The sequence below is a fragment of the Homo sapiens genome, chromosome 6 (assembly GCF_000001405.40).
Source record: "Homo sapiens chromosome 6, GRCh38.p14 Primary Assembly".
NCBI classification, from domain to species: Eukaryota; Metazoa; Chordata; class Mammalia; order Primates; family Hominidae; genus Homo; species Homo sapiens.
Genome location: NC_000006.12, coordinates 80,102,170 through 80,119,267, shown reverse-complemented (window position 1 = coordinate 80,119,267; position 17,098 = coordinate 80,102,170). Strand labels below are relative to the sequence as shown.

At 40.6% G+C, this 17,098-nt stretch overlaps 1 protein-coding gene across 27 annotated transcripts in view, besides 5 other annotated features; it reads right to left on the bottom strand.

The window, feature by feature from the left end:
- BCKDHB (branched chain keto acid dehydrogenase E1 subunit beta) overlaps positions 1 to 12,658 on the bottom strand; it is a 360,067-nt gene extending 347,409 nt beyond the window's left edge. For 25 of the 27 annotated variants that reach the window (XR_001743546.3, NR_187564.1, NR_134945.2 and 22 more), the window contains exon 1: positions 12,379 to 12,597. Coding sequence is in view for 18 of the 27 variants with exons in the window: in NM_001424037.1 (NP_001410966.1) it covers positions 12,379 to 12,574 (196 nt within the window). In the remaining 9 variants the exon portion in view is untranslated. Of the gene's footprint in view, positions 1 to 12,378 lie in introns of all 27 variants that reach the window. The other 2 variants (NM_001318975.1, NM_001424043.1) reach the window with 2 other exon arrangements.
- Positions 12,255 to 12,334: an enhancer, noted in NCBI's record as "active region_24773". NCBI's record gives its function as "activates an Ori minimal core promoter by ATAC-STARR-seq in GM12878 lymphoblastoid cells {active_cell/tissue: GM12878}" and the evidence as "EXISTENCE:reporter gene assay evidence [ECO:0000049][PMID:35858748]".
- Positions 12,255 to 12,801: a biological region, named in NCBI's record as "H3K27ac hESC enhancer GRCh37_chr6:80816184-80816684".
- Positions 12,301 to 12,801: an enhancer, noted in NCBI's record as "H3K27ac hESC enhancer chr6:80816184-80816684 (GRCh37/hg19 assembly coordinates)". NCBI's record gives its function as "activates a minimal SCP1, AML or CMV promoter by ChIP-STARR-seq in primed H9 embryonic stem cells {active_cell/tissue: H9 hESC(primed)}" and the evidence as "EXISTENCE:reporter gene assay evidence [ECO:0000049][PMID:30033119]".
- Positions 12,385 to 12,484: a silencer, noted in NCBI's record as "silent region_17351". NCBI's record gives its function as "represses an Ori minimal core promoter by ATAC-STARR-seq in GM12878 lymphoblastoid cells {active_cell/tissue: GM12878}" and the evidence as "EXISTENCE:reporter gene assay evidence [ECO:0000049][PMID:35858748]".
- Positions 12,515 to 12,714: a silencer, noted in NCBI's record as "silent region_17350". NCBI's record gives its function as "represses an Ori minimal core promoter by ATAC-STARR-seq in GM12878 lymphoblastoid cells {active_cell/tissue: GM12878}" and the evidence as "EXISTENCE:reporter gene assay evidence [ECO:0000049][PMID:35858748]".

The window sequence follows — 17,098 nt, the reverse complement described above, 5'->3', positions numbered from 1 at the left end:
ACTTCATTTATTCATTCATTCATTCGTTCATTTTATTTTTTTTGCAACCTCCACCTCCCAGGATCAACCAATTCTCACACCACAGCCACCCCAGGGATTACAGGCATGCGCTAGCATGCCTGCTAATTTTTTTGTATTTTTAGTAGAGCCCAGGTCTCACATGCTGCCCAGGCTGGTCTCAAACTCCTTAGCTCAGATGATCCGCCAGCCTTGGCCTCCCAAAGTGGTAGGACTACACGCGTGAGCCACCATGCCCAGCCTCATGGATGACTTTGAGGGATTCAAAACTTCAGAGAAGAACATAACTGCAGACGTGGTAGAAATAGCAAGAGAACTAGAAGTGCAGCCTGAAGATGTGACTGAATTGCTACAATCTCATGATAAAACTTCAATGGATGAGGAGTTGCTCTTTACGTATGCAACCTGAAGAACTCAAAGAAAGTGGAGCCTTGAGATGGAATCTATTACTTTCTATGAATTCAAAAAAAAAAGTGGATCCTTGAGATGAAATCCATTGCTAATGAAGATGCCATGAACACTGTGAAATGACAACAAAGGACTTACAATATTACACAAACTTAGCTGATAAAGAAGTGGCAGGGTTTGGGAGAATTGATTTCAATTCTGAAAAAAGTTCTACTGTGGTAAAATGCTATCAAACGGCATCTCATGCTACAGAGAAATCTGTCATGAAAGGAAGATTCTATCAATGCAGCAAACTTCATTGTTGTCTTTTTTTTTTTTAATGAAGTTGCCACAGCCACCACAACCTTCAGCAACCACTACCCTGATCAGTCAGTAGCTATCAACATCAAGGCAAGACCCTCCACCAGCAAAAAGATTATGACTTGCCAAAGTTTCAGATGATTGTTGGCAATTTTTATCGATAAAGTATTTCTTAATTAAAGTATGTACATTGATCTTTTAGATATAATGCTATTGCACACTTACTAGACTACAGTACAATGTAAACATGTTAATATGCACTGGGAAACCAATACATTTGTGTGACTCACTTTATTGTAATATTCACTATATTGCAACATTCATTTTATTGTAGTGGTCTGGAGCCAAACCCACAATATGTCCGAGGTAGGCCTGTACTTTCCTTAAATCCTTCTCGATTTTATAAATATTCTTCAAGTATATATTGGTGCCCAGCTTCAGAAGATAATAGTCTTGGGTAAACATTTTTCCCAATCACAGTGACATCCCACTGACTCTCCTATTGCATACATTTCATAAAGTAAGATCTTGACTTGTCTATGAGGATTTCCATAGCTAAGAACCTAGCCAGAATAAAAATGTACTGACACCAGCTTGGTTGGGGAGACACTAACCCAGCGGTGTTAGAGGAATTAAAGACACACACACACAGAAATATAGAGTTGTGGAGTGGGAAATCAGGGGTCTCACAGCCTTCAGAGCTGAGAGCCTCGAACAGAGATTTACCCACATATTTATTGACAGCAAGCCAGTGATAAGCATTGTTTCTATAGATTATAGATTAACTAAAAGTATTCCTTACAGGAAACAAAGGGATGGGCTGGGCTAGCTATCTGCAGCAGGAGCATGTCCTTAAGGCACAGATCGCTCATGCTATTGTTTGTGGTTTAAGAATGCCTTTAAGCGGTTTTCCGCCCTGGGTGGGCCAGGTGTTCCTTGCCCTCATCCCCGTAAACCCACAACTTTGCAGCGTGGGTGTCATGGTCATCAAGAACATGTCACAGTGCTGCAGAGATTCTCTTTATGGCCAGTTTTGGGGCCAGTTTATGGCCAGATTTGGGGGCCTATTCCCAACAAAATGTCTAAATATCTAAGTTGCTATTTATTTCAAGTCTGCTGAACATTCAGATTAATACTGAATGACATGATATCTTATTGCACTGATGCTCAGCAAGTTATTAGTAGGGAGGAAGCAAAGACTTTAATAATAAAAATCATACAAAGTAAACATTTCAATTATTGTCTGATAACCACAAAGAATCTATTCGTCTTGTATAAAATAATTTACCAGTAAGGGTATTTAAAGGTAATTATTTCCATGTGAATACCTAAACTTTCACTCCTGAATAGTTTTTCAAACAGATTCAAAATTTTAGGGTTTTGGATTAATTGCTATTCTACCAGATACTTTTCTAAGTTTTAAATTACAAATTTTAATGGAGCAGCATTTACTTTTCATTTCTTTTTTAAAGTTACAGCATGATTTGTGGACAAGGCAAGAAGAAATCACAAGTTATTCACAGGTAATTTTTTTTAATATATATTTTCCTTAGAGTTATTTATTCTCCTAGAGGTTACATCAAAGACTATTCATAGACTATGCTTATGTCTGCCATAGTAAGATAAACCTACTTATAGCATGTGCTAACCAAAGCTGTACTGCTGGTAAGACTGTTAAAAAATAATCTATATACATCACTAAAAATTTATTAAGCACAGTTACCTAATTATGCAATCACACAGTACTAATAAATGACTGCTACATTTTAAAACCAGACTGGTAATTCTTTTTCAAGATAAAAAGGTATAGCAAAACAAACAACAACAAAATACAGCAGCACACTTTCTTCTATATCAAGGATGCAAGTTAATGGTTGCCTATTGTTAAAACAGGGCTCTGTGGCTGGCATTGAGTTGTTTAATTGAAATTGTACTAAGTAAAGAATCATGAATATGCAGGTCATCAGCACTGCTGAAAAAATGAGGTGACATATAGGCAGAATGTAAAGACCATAATGGAACATAAGCTCCAAGAGGACTGGTATCCTTAAATGCTTTTGATCAGAGCTGTGTCTTCAGTGCTCACAACAGGGCCTGACATGTAATAGGTGCTAAATAAATATTTGTTGAATGAATGAATGAACACATGCAAACACTATTTCAATAAACGTTTAAGGAAACTAAAAGAAAAATATTAACCAACAACTTAAAGAGAAAGAAATGTCTAAGAAAAAAGACCTACCAATGTCACATTCAAAGACAAACTGCAGGAGGGGGGCAAATGAGAGGTGTTATTGCATCAACAGTCTGATGGGGTAGGTCTTTAATAACTATGCAGTATGCAGCAGTGTTAAAGGGAAAGAGAAGCCTCCCACAGGGATAGAGCATCTGAGGAAAAGGGCAAATGTCAGCAATCTCCAGAAATAAATAAGGCCAAGAGCAGAGCACACGGTCAGTGAGTGGATTTATAGCTTAGACCCAAACACATAAAAATATACAGCTATGATACAGAAAATTAGGGACTACTTGCAGAAAGTGAAGGTTGTGCCAATACGTTCGGCACTGGCTTTCCTCTGTACTGCCTAGTTATTGATATAGACCTGTGTGTTACAGCACATCCTCATATTCCTTAGAAACTCCAGCATTGGGAGGCCGAGGGGGGTGGATCATGAGGTCAGGAGATTGAGACCATCCTTGCTAACACGGTAAAACTCCGTCTCTACTAAAAATACAAAAAATTAGCCAGGCGTGGTGGCAGGCGCCTGTAGTTCCAGCTACTTGGGAGGCTGAGGCAGGAGAATGGTGAGAATCTGGGAGGCAGAGCCTGCAGTGGGCCAAGATCGCGCCACTGCACTCCAGCCTGGGTGACAGAGCGAGACTCTGTCTCAAAAAAAAAAAAAGAAACCCCAGCATTTATCGCAGTGCGTAACACACAAGTGACAATCAGTATATGCCTGGTGAAGTATGATGAATGATGTCAATGAAACAATCTGGCACTAATTCACATCATGAAATAACAGGATACTAAGAAACTACCTGTTTTCCCCAACAAAACCTCTACCCTCCATCCAGATACCCTATTCTCCAGGAATCCCTTTCTATTGACCAGGTATGTACCTCTATCTTATTCTAAACTCTACTAAGAGTTAGCCAGCATCTACTTCATAAAATAAGACTGAGGGAGAACCCAAATGTCAGGGACAGAACATTTTGTATTAAAATGTAAATGGGCCAGGCACAGTAGTACGTGACGATAGTCCCAACTACTCAAGAGGCTGAGGCAGGAGGATCACTTGAGCCCAGGAGAGTTCAGGGTTGTACTACATGATGATTGTGGCTGTGAATAGCCACTGCACTTCAGCCTGGGCAACATAGCAAGACCCCTTCTCTTAAAAAAAATGAAATGAAAGATCCATAAAGGCAATTGCCTTTGTAAGGTACCAGTGTGTATCACATATCCATGATAAGAAAGGAAGTAAATGGTATTGGCAGAGGATGAGGAAGGGTCAACTAAAGACAACAAAAGTGACAGGAACAAAACTGTAAAGTTGAAGAGACTGGGTCTAGAGTCCCTGGGTTGCCCCATCTCAGGGCACCTGGTAACTTCTGTCAAGAAACAATGGTGCTTCCCTTCCTTTAAGCTAGTTCCTCTACTCAATCTCTAAGTGGTTTTAAAACCCCCTTTATATGTTGGTGACTCCCAAATGGTTATCTCCAACCCAGCCAGGCCTCTCCTCTGAACTCCTGACTTTTATATCCAACAGTCATCAGTTCTCCACTTGAGTTTCTTGAGCTTTTCAACAAGCACAAACTGAATTCTTGTGTCGGCTCCCAAAACTAATCTTTTCCATCTTAGCAAACGGCACTACCCTCCACCCAGGTTCCCGTGCCACAAACCAGTGAGGTATCTTCACAATGTCTTCCTTTTTTTCATCCTTCACATCCAACCTATCAAATCCTACTTCCAAAATATAGCTTAAATCTAGCATCACTAGCCAGGCGTGGTGGCTCATGCCTTTTATCCCAGCACTTCGGGAGGCCAAAGCAAGAGGACTGCTTGAGCCCAGGAGTTCAAAACCAGCCTGGGCAACATGGTGAAACCCTGTCTCTACAAAAACTACAAAAAATTAGCCAGGCATGGTGGTGCATGCCTGTAGTCCCAGCTACCCTGGAGGCTGAGTATGAGGATCACCTGAGCCTGGGAAGTAGAGACTGCAGTGAGCCATGATTGAGCCACTGCACTCCAGCCTAGACAAGAGAGTGAGACCCTGTATTTAATTAAAAAAAAAAAAAAAATCTAGCACTACTATATTCTATTCCAGAGCTTGCCATTTCTTTCCTTTGAGGCAGAATAGGGTCTGGAGGCAGGGAACCTAAGGCCAACTCATGCTGACTTCCTAGAACTAAATCAAAAGGAAAACCCCAACCCCAACTTCCCATGCCCAAGTAACAAAAGGACCAGAAGCCACTCCCTTTGCAACCCTCCTGCCCCTTTTCTGCGTGGCAGATGAAAAAATTCGAAGTACCTTTGATTGATCCCCTCCCACAACCAATCAGGCTAGTCATGGGCCAAGTCTTCATTTGCATAGGAGTATAACTTTGTAACTTCACTTCAGCCTCTGAATGGTTGCTTTCTATGACCAATTAGACATTTGCATAGGGTGTAAATTTGTAACTTCAGCTTCTGATTGGTTGCGGAAAGTGACCAACCCCAGACAATTCTGTAACCTGCAATCTTCAGCCACTTGCTCCAGCCGGCTCCCACCCTGTGGAGTGCATTTTTCATTTTCAATAAATCTCGGCTTTTGTTGCTTCATTTTTTCCTTGTTTTCTTTGTGCCTTTTGTCCAATTCTTTGTTCAAAATGCCAAGAACCTGGACATCCTCCACCAGTAACGTATTTTGGAAAGCCAGCCAGGAGGTAAGCCCAAAATTGGAGATTTATTTTTCTTCTCGTTTTCCTCTCTGCTCCATACAGGGGAATGCTTTTTTCTCTTTTCCCTTTCCAACTTGGGCCCTTCAGCGCACAATGCCTAAGCACAGAGGCAACTGCAGGTTTCTGGCCGGGGCCACACTCCAGTGAAACCAAGAGTTTTCTATGTGGAAGCACCTGACCACCACCGCCCAGTTTGGGTGAGAGGCCTGAGTCCTTTCCTTTTTTTCTTTTTCAGTCTTTCAGTGGCCATTTCCTAGTAGCTCCCTGATAATTGTGGGCAACTGGCCAGGGCCACTTTCCAGTGTTACCTGAAGGCCAAGGGGGATAGCTGCCCATACCAGGAGGGGGAAGGAGAGGACTCTTTTCTATCTTTTCCAGCTATAGTCCATGATCCTTACGTGTGTTGCAGTTGGCCATGGCAGCTCATCCAGGGTGAATTCACACGTTTCAGGTGACTTAAACTTTGTTTTCTTATGTTAAATTCTCCTACAGGGTTCTTATGCCAAATTATCCTATAGGTTAACCAGTAATGGCAAACAATGATGTCTCTTAGGAGTTTTGACCTTTCTCCTATTCTATCTGACTTGCTAAGGACAAAAGAAATGCACCCACCTCCGGTTCCTATCATTAAAGTTCATGGCTAACACTCTAGTGGAACGGGAAGCAAGGGAAAGCATGGTCTTATCAAATCATAAGTATGCTAGAAGTTGAGGCTTTCATCCAGGGACAAAACAAATTTCATAGTACGCCATCACCTCTGGAGGGAAAACATACAAAGCAGCACCCATGCCTAACTAAGGTCAGAGACGTCTGACACTCTAAGATTGGATCCCAAAGGGGAACACCCCGGGGAATCCAACTCCAGACCTGAACCTCTCCAAAGGGGACGCCCTCGGCAGAGGTTCTGAGGTCTAGCACAAAGGCCTCCTTGGAATTTTCTCTCACAGGTGACAATGGGACAGTCTGGACACTCTTGGGGCTTGTTTGTTGCTGCAGCAGTTGGACTGTGCTGCAGTCATTGTTTGTGTGTGTTTGATATAGTAATGGGAAATAAGGATTCAGTAAACTTGATATTCTTTTGCAATACTGTTTGGCCCAGTATTGCTTGGAATTCTGGAGTTTGCTGTTGAATGGGAAGGTGGGATGGAGGTGCATGTATCCAGGCTTTTGTGCTGCTGTTCTAAGTAGGGTTGGCCTGGTTAGCATGTGGTGTTCTCCTTTGGTGCTGTTTGGCCCCAGTGTTTGGAGTCTGGGGAGGTTTGGCCTTTAAAAATCAAACTACCATGGAAACTGCTTGACCTGAAATTTTGGTTCACAGCCTTCACTGGATTACCCATTGGGTCAAACAGTAAAACCAGTGGACTTATATTGCTATCTCATGGCTAGAGTTCCAAGGTAAAAAGCTATTGGATCTTCATTTGTGTTTGTGTATACATGTCTAGATGTGTTTATTTGTATGTACACTTACTGTTATATGTTGTGTCTATCAGATTGGCTTATAATTAAAGGAGCGCTCATAAATTAAGTAAATAAGTCTAAGCAATTTTCAAGTTCACATGACTTAAGTATAACTTTACTAAACAAGCTGGCACTGGAGTACTTACTGGTCATGTGCCTAGAGTGAATTTCTTCATTGCACAGTATGTATGGTGATACTGGTGGAATTAAGGATATTGAGTTGTGTATCAGGAATAAAATATTCATTATGTGGTTTTCTGGGGGGCTCTGGGTAACACTGTAGCCCCCCGGGTAGACTAAGTAGGAAAAATTTAGAGATGGTTTCCTGTCTATTTGTTTTTGCTTCTAATTTTCATTTGTTTGCTATTTGTTCTCCTTTGGGTTTTACTTGTGTATGCATATATATAAAACCATAGACATTTTTTAGTTTCTAGTGGAAGGCTTTTATTTGGTTCTGAGAATAGTTATTTTGTTTCCTGCGAATTTCCAACAAGTCATCATGTGTTCTATTTATTTGGAATTCCTAGGCTACCTATTTCAGGCCTGCAGGAATTGATGGAGCACACCAGCCACTTGGAATTTGGTTGATTTGGCTTGCCTCTGATAATCTGCACAACAAAGACTCTTGCTTCAAATGCAAGAAAAACGAGAATTGGATAAAGGACTATATTAAGCCCCTGCCAGTCCCCTGCCAAAAATGCGAGAGCATCAGTTACAACCCCTGGCACTGGAAGATTGACTGGCCCTGCTCCCACCAAGGGGTTCAATAAGGCAAAACTCTAGCAGTGCAAAAGAGAAATTAGATGAAGACTGAAGCGACCCAGGGTCTTCCTCACTGCCCCTGTTCAGGAACATCGTAATTACTACTGAGGAGCCCCCAGGTAACTCTGGACGTCATGGGCACCCAAATTCAGTTTCTTTTCAATACAAATTCAGTTTCTTTCCTTACTACTTATGTAGGAAAACTTTCCTCCCAGTCCACGACCATTATGGGAATGGAAGGAAAGCCACAAGTAAGATCCTTTATTCCTCCTTTGATTTGTCAAATTGAGAAACAAATCTTCCAACAGTAATTTCTAGTAGTATCAAGCTGCCCAGGCCCCCTGTTAAAAAGAGATATTATGGTTAAAATAGGGGCACTACTACAATTTAAGCATCATCTGGTGAAATTGCTAATAGTCAAAAATACAGACACTGTCCCAGACCACATTAATAAACAGGTTAACACACTGGCATGGTATACTGGAAAACCAAGGAAGGCTAAAACAGCAGTGCCAGCCAAAATACAGCTTAAAGACCCCTAGCTATTTATTTTCCCAATCAAAAACAATACCCAATTAAGCTGGAAGCAAGGAAAGGCCAAGCATCCACAGCTAAGGTATTACTTACCCCTGGGCTCTTAAGACCCACTGGTAGGTCCACCCATTGGTGGCAGATCCATATACCCTCCTGGCTCAGGTGCCAAGGGATGCTAAATGGTTCTCAGTCCTAGACCTAGAAGATGCTTCATTTTCCATTCCTCTGGCCCCAGAATCCCAATACCTTTTTGCCTTTGAATGGGAAAATCCTAATGCCAGAGAAAAACAATAATACACTTGGACAGTTCTCCCTCAGGGTTTTCAGGATAGCCCCCATTGCTTTGCCTGGGCCTTAGAGAGGAATCTGAGGGGTCTGCAATTAATTAAGAAATGGGAGTATACTCCAGTATATGGATGACCTCCTTGTGTATAGCCAAATCCTGGATGAAAAAACTACAAAAAGTTTGAATTTCCTGGCAGATAGGGGATACCAAGTGTCCAAAACGAAGGTTCAGATTACCCTCCGACAGGTCCATGATCACATCCTTAGCAGCTAGCAGAGAGTATGGCATCCAGGAGAAAATAAAAATGCAGAGAATGACTGAATAAACAAACTCACATCCATACAATGCCCAAGAATCAGGGGCATGGAGAAGCCAGGATGAACTGTTCTCAGAGAACAACACAGTGTAATAAAGGGAGCAAACATGCCAGCATAAAGCAGCATAAGTGTCACCAACTCAGAGTCTAATCTGACTACCTCCTTTTAAGCAGTACCTTTTATATGTCAAAACAACCAAAATAAAAGAGTGAAAAGTATTTGCAGGACATGTGAAAAGCAGAAAGTTAGTATGTTCTTCAATATTTTTTAACAGACAAAATCTTAGTATATAAGTAGTGTGGGAGGCTTTGGAGTAAGACACATCAGGATTCAAACTCTGGCTCTGCTACTTACCAGACTTGGGTAAGTACTAACATTTCTGAGCCTCAATTTTCTCATCTTTAAAATGAGCATAATATTGTCTAGTTCACAAGGTTACTGTGAGGATTATAAACTGATGTCTAACACAACACCTGGAAAAGAGCAGCTATGCAATAATCGTAGATAGTATTGATAGGAAAAATACTGAGTATACTTTTAAAAATATGTAAATACATCTAATATTCAATTCTTAAGTAAAAATAAATCAATTTAACAAAAACATGGGAAAATATTCCTCAACAGAAATGAAACAAAAATTAAAACAAAGTACAGTTAGCACAAAATATCCAAGAGTGTACATGAACACACCTAATTTTAGCATTAATATCCAATACTCACACTATTATACATATTATGGGGTATAAATGGGTATAAATTTGAACTATGCACTTAAAATCCATTAAAGTATTCAGGACTCTATCCTAAAGAAATAATCTCAGATACATAAAACCCATATGCATGAAATGCTTGTATCTGCATTATTTACAAAATTGCAAAATTTTAACAACAAAAACATAATGGTAATTATTTAAAGGTTCCACTTATTGACTGAATGCTTGATTCTCAGTTGTCAAACAGTGTTAAGTATATTATAGACATTGTTTTATGTAGCCCTCACAACAACCTTCTGAAGTAGGTATTATTATTAACCCCTTACATATAAAGAAACTGAGGCTTACAGAGGATAAGTAGTAACTCCAAAGTTATAGACAGCCAAGGCAAGATCAAACTTAGGACAATCTGATTCCGGGGTCAAGAATTTAACTTGTAAAAGACTTGTAGCATCTCTACTCCATGGAACAGTTCTTCTAAATTCTCAAGAAGGTTATAAAAACTCCAGTGAATTGTAGGATAATTCTTCCGACTAAATAAGTTGTATTTGTATTAAAACTAAAAGTATGGAAAATACGAAACTAAAAGGAAATACCTGTAAGGATACACCCAAAATGTTAGCAATATTTACTGCAGTGGGTGGTGATTTTTGTTTTTTGGTTTTTTGGGGTTTTTTTGAGACAGAGTCTTGCTCTGTCACCAGGCTGGAGTGCAGTGGCACGATATCAGCTCACTGCAACCTCTGCCTCCCAGGTTCAAGCGATTCTCCTCCCTCAGCCTCCCGAGTAGCTGGGACTACAGGCATGCGCTGCCACGCCCAGCTAATTTTTGTATTTTTGGTAGAGACCGGGTTTCACCATGTTGGCCAGGATGGTCTCGATCTCTTGACCTGGTGATCCGCCTGCCTCCGCCTCCCAAAGTGCTGGGATTACAGACGTGAGCCACTGCGCCCGGCAGATTTTTTTTTTTTTTTTTTACTTTTTATCCATTATCCAAATTATCTGTTAATATGTTTGTATTATTTTTAAAATAAGAACAAGTTTATATATATCATGATATATATCATGATAACATGATATCATTTTACTTAGATTTTAGTAAGTTTACAACTATGGAAAGTTGGACTATTTCTCAAGTATTAGACCAAAATTTCTTTGCTTTGAAGACAGAATTTGCTTTGAAGACAGAATTGAGGGCTCATCTTGGTGGTGGAAAAAAAAAAAAAAACACCTACTATTAACCTTTATGGTACCTACTGTTTCACAATACTGGGACGCCCTCCAAGTAAATTATATCTACACGCATCTTAGTACATTGTTTAGAATGGAAGCTCTGGAATCTGATCAATTAGATTCCAAAGCTGGAGCTTTGGAGCTACCACTAACTTACCTGTGTAATCTTGGTCAAACTGTCTCAAGACTCCATTAACCTAACTGCAAAATGGGAATAAAAACTTTACTAACCTTTTAAGGTTGTCCTAACCCTTAAATGAGATGATGAAACATACACACAGCACCTGACCCTGGTAAGCACTCAATAACTGTTCATTCTTATCCACAAGACACACTTCCAAAAATGTCAGCTCTAGCATGCACATGAGAAGTTATTAGACAAGGAAGCAATACATGTTTCCCTACAGTTTCCTGATATTCTGAAGAGAGACACTGGATCTGATATTCTGATGAGAGACATTACATGAAACTTGCAGAAATGGTAAAAATCATGCAACAGTCATACTATGAGGAGTTTGCTACATGCCCTTCCTATGGCTTCCTCCTCTCATCCCCTTCACCTCCTTGGCTAAGTGGCAGCATAGCCCAGGACAAGCTCAGTACTAAGCTCAAGTAGAAAGTCTGAATTCTTTCACATCTCTAGGAAGGACCTGTTCTGTGACCTTGGGAAAATCAGTTCAATTACTCAGAATTCTGTAGGTAAGAAGAAACCAAGGGACATATATACATATATGCATATATATATGCATATATATGTGTGCATATATATATATGCATATATATATATATGCGCACATATATATGCATATATATGCGCGTATATATATCCACACATATATATATGTGTGTGGATATATACACACACACACACACACACACATACACACAATTTCTGTATGTAAGAAGAAACCAAGGGACTGAGTAACTGAATTGATTTTATATACATATATATATTTTATATATAATATATATAATATACATTTAAAATATATATATATAAACATATATATATATCTTTTAAATGCCTCTACCTAAGCTAGTGGCCCAGTCCTGGCCAGGCTGGAACAACACCTAAGGCCTGGGTTGAGAAAGCAAGGACGGAGGACAGAGAAAAGGGAGGCGTTCCCTGGGCACCACCCCTCCACCCTCAGGCTCTTCCAGGTGGCAGTATGCCCTCTCACCCATCTCAAAGTTGCGGGGGAGGGGGGACTGCGTCTCGAGGGCTGAACAGTCACAAAAATAGAGCAAGAAGTGAACCACAGTTAGACCCTGAGGCAAGGAGGTTCCAGAGAGTCAGGAAGTTAATAAGCTGGGATGCAAGGATTGCAGCCTGCCGGCCCCTGCCCCTCGCGGGCGCCTGCGAGCCTGGGAGTCCGGGCTGCAGCGGGACCGAGTGGGCAGTCCCAGGGCTCACCGTACTCCCGGGGCTCCGGATCTGGCTGGAAAGTAAAATGAGCCACCTGCCGCCTCTGGGCCGCATCCTCGACAGTCGCGGCGGGGTGCAAAAAGCCCCGCGCCAGCCCCGCGCCAGGAAGCCGACGCCAGTGCCCCTCAGCCCCTGCCGCCCTGAGCCTGAGTAGCCAGCCGGCAGCCGCCGCTACAACCGCCATCCCCGCTCACCACCGGGATTCTCAGGCTATGCAGCCGCACGCCGCCTGCGGGGAGGGCGGAGCACCCGAGGAGGCTTCCACATTGGTCGGGCCAGAGGGGCGGTCCCATGAAACAGACCAATCGGAACTGGAAATTTAGGGGCGGGGAAGGCGACGTGACGAGCTGGTCGGCTTCTGCTCCTTGTGCGCATGCGGAAGAGGGGAAGTGTGGGCTAGAGGTGGCGCCAATGAAATAGTTTCTGGGGTGGAGCCTCCCCGAGGTCGGCCGTGCGGTCCTCGGGTGAGGACCCGAGTTTGCAAAGTTCCACACAGTGCCTGGAGGCGATCTTTTCCGGTGTCATTTACAGTGCCATTTCCAATGGTTTAACATCCATACTTTTTTTTAAATGTAACCCTTTTTTATCCTGTCCTGTCTCTATTATTGTGTGAGAGGTGAAGAGAGCTACTGATTGGCATTGGTTATTGTTTTGACTTTCGAAAAACTGCTGTAGTCACTGCTCAAAGCTTTCACTCCTTATTCACACCCTCCTTAAAATGCTTAATAAGCATATATAGATTTTTATTGATTTCGTTTTTCCACATTTAAATGAGAGATGAAAGAGGTAAACTTAGATTTCATCCTGCAAATCCACTGAATAGGAATTCAGATACATTTTGCCCAGAAGTAGCAAAAATTACCTGATTGGCTTAGTCTAAGTAGCTTAGAAACCTGGAGAATTTGAGTCACTAATTTTCATTTATAGTAATCAACTATGTAAATTTGTTTTAATCTAAGTGTTTACCAGGATACATTCTCTGTCCATGAATTTACTAAAAAAAAAAAAAAGCACATAAAACATGAAATATCATAAAATCAAATATGACAAGAGACAACAGAGACAGTGTGTCCATCAGATGAAAATGGGAGGGTGGGGAAGGATGGTCCCAAAACAGAATTTGAAGAAGAAAGTGGGAGTGGAGGAAAAGAACATTCCTCTTCCATTATGCCTTGCCTCTTAACCCATCTTTGGTTTTGCACAGGGGCAAGGGAGGAGAGGGTAGAAATGGGGCAAAAGGAGAGGCAGAGAAATGTGTTTTCTGACTGAGATTAAGAAACAGCAATTGAAAACTGCCAAAGGGAGAACCAGAATTATGTCTCCATTTTTCCTACCCCCACACTAAGTCCAAAAATTCAACATTGGGGAAATTTTTTATCTTGGCTTTTGTTAGTGTTCATTTCTGCTGTTTTAATAGTGTGGGGTAGAGTGTTTTGCATGTGCATGAAGGGTATTTTTGTTTTAATGAAGGAAGGGGTAACAAAATGAAATTACATTTACATAGTCAAATTTGGGTTTAAACTAAGGAGAGTAAAGAACAAGGATAAAAATGAATAGAGCTTTTTTTCTATTTGTTGATAGTTTAGGGAGCTGGGGGTACTGAGATTATTTAGGTCGGGGAGAAAAAGAGAAAAATAATAACTGATGAGAATTTTATTGAACCTCTGCTACGTACAACCCAATGACAAGCCACCATTGAGACAAATAAGATCAAGGCATAGTTTTACTTCTAAAATGTCCAAGGTGGTAGAGAAAAGAGACAGATTAGGCAACTACAATCCAATGTGATAGGAGTCCTAGAATAGTGCAAACAAAGTGAAACACAAAAAGAGCAATAAACTCTTATTTGAAAGTCAAGTGTTTCCAGATATAACTCTGAGCTAGACCTAAAAGATGACTAGAAGTTACCAGGCAGACTAGGGAGAAAATGGCATTCCAAACTAAGAAGAAACCTGTATAAAGGCTGATAGGCATGAAGAGCACAGTGCATTCCAGGAAGAGAAAATAGCTTGGTGCTTCTAGATTCAGGGTGTAGGGAATGATACAGGGTTAACAGAAAAAGTAGGAAAAACAGATTAAAGGGAGATTTTGAAGGTCTAAGAGGTTTGAACTTTCAACTACATGCAGCCAGGAAAAACAAACAGAGCACCTGCCAGATTCACCTGTTTTGCAAACTGATTTTTTAAATTTTCCCCATCTCTACCACACCATTTGCCTGGTAACCATGAAAATGTCTATGTTATTACAGTGGGACTTTCCTCCATTCCCCTTGCCCTGGCCACATTTACTCAATTTGGGAAACTGTCCTTTTCTGGGAATTTTGGAAGTGTAGTTTAGAAAGAAAGATCAGATTATCTTTAAATGCCACTAGGAACTGCAAAAAATGGGAGTTTTCAGTAATTTCGTGAACCAGAAAAGGTGAAGAGTGTGATTATATTTGAGTTCCTGATTCCATTTATTCCCAAGGCCTAACTGCTTTCTGGTCCTGGGGTTCTATGAGACATCACCGTATCCTTAAAATGTATTCCCCTCTTTGTTTAAGCTATTTCCAATTGCAGAACCCATGACTATGGAGTTGGAATACAAAGCAAAGTTGCTCTTCACCCTTCAGAATGACTCTTGCATCACTTGCTCTCACTGAGCTTCACTACCTGTGCAACTTGTACCTGTTTAGTCTCAGCTTGCTTTTAGACGACCATTTTATATAGCAAGATGATAGTTTTGCAGTATTACATCCTGGCATCTGCCTCCTTTCAAACTCAAACAGAGGTATCATGGAGGCAGAAAAAAAAGAAATCAAATTATTGCTTTTGAATTTTAAAATAGATTTTAAACTTGATAGCAGAGACAATAATTTGAGAGAAAAGTTTGAATTCTACAGACTGGTTTCTGAGTATTAAACCTCAAAAACCTGAATGAGTTAGGAAACAAAGCTTAGGGCTAAAAGAAAAGATTGTAAATCACATACCAGTATAAGAGATGGTTTGTCTCACCTTCCATGGAGGTACAGCTATAGATTAGAAAGACCTGTAGGTATCCTCCTTTGTAGATGAACCTAGAAAAGTATCACTAAATCCTCAGGCTACCCAGCATGTCATGGCATTTGAAACAGCAGGATGCTTCTCCCATGTGGCCAAGAGAGATGCAGCTATGGCAACAAGATCCAGGGAACTTGAGGAGACCCAGCAATCAGAATGATAAGGACTTGTGTCTAGAATATACTGATTGAAAGTCTTAAACGCAACAATAGAAAAGAAAAATTACCCAATTAGAAAATGGGCAAAGAATTCTCATTCATTGATTGTGGCAATGCAAAATGGTATAGCCACTTTGCAACACAGTTTAGTTTTTTATAAAACTAACATATTCTCACCATGAAATCCAGCAGTAGTGCTGCTTGGTATTTGCCCAAATAAGCTAAAAATGTATGTCCACATTAAAACCTGTGCAGAATATTTACAGCAGCTTTATTCATAATTGCCCAAACTTGGAAGCAACCAAATAAACTTAATGGAATATTATTCAGCACTAAAAAGAAATATTAAGCTGGGTGTGGTGGCTCATGCCTGTAATCCCAGCACTTTGGGAGGCCGAGGCGGGCGGATCACCTGAGGTCAGGAATTTGAGACTAGCCTGGTCAACATGGTGAAACCCCGTCTCTACTAAAAATACAAAAATTAGCTGGGCGTGGTGGTGTGCACCTGTAGTCCCAGCTATTCAGGAGGCTGAGGCAGGAGAATCGCTTGAACCCAGAAGGCAGAGGTTGCAGTGGGCCCAGATCACGCAACTGTGCTCCAGCCTGGGCAACAGAGTGAGACTCTCAAAAAAAAGAAAAAAAAGAAAAAAAAATATTTAACCATCAGAAGACATGGAAGAAGTTTAAATTTATATGACTAAGTGAAAGAAGCCAATCTAAAAAGGCTACATACTATATGAATCCATCTATATGACATTCTGGAAAAGGCAAAATTATGGAGAGAATAAAAGAGATGAGGGGTTGCAAGGGTTGGGAGCAGGAAGGGATAAATGGAAAATCACAGAGGATTCTTAGGGTAGGAAAAATATTCTGTATGATATTATAATGGTGGACATATAAATATGTCATTATACATTCGTCCAAATGCATAGAACGTACACCACCAAGAGTGAACCCTAATGTAAACTATGGGCTTTGGTTGACAACTGTGTGTTAATGTAGGTTCCTTGATGGTGACAAATGTGCCACTGCAGTGCAAATGTTGATGATTAAGGAAGCTCTGTATTTGGGGAAAGCATATGGACATTCTCTGTACCCTCCTCTCAAATTTTTTGTGAACCTAACACTGCTCTAAAAAACATAGCCTATTTAAAGAAATGGACAAAGGATTTGAATGACATTTCTCCAAAGAAGATATGCAAGTGGCCAATGAACATAAGAAAAGATTCTCAACATCAATAGTCATTAAAGAAATACAAATCAAAACCACAATGAGATACCACTTCATATCCACTAGGATGATTAAAATAAAAAGAAATCTATAACATGTGTTGGTGAGGCTGTATAGCAACTGGAACCATTGTGCATCACTGGTGGGACTGTAAAATGATGCAGCTGCTATGGAAAACAGTTCCGCAAAATGTTAAACACAGTTATCTTTTTAATTTTGTTCTTCTATTTCTCTTCCTTTTTTGTTTTTTTAAACATAATTATCTTATGACCCAGCAATTC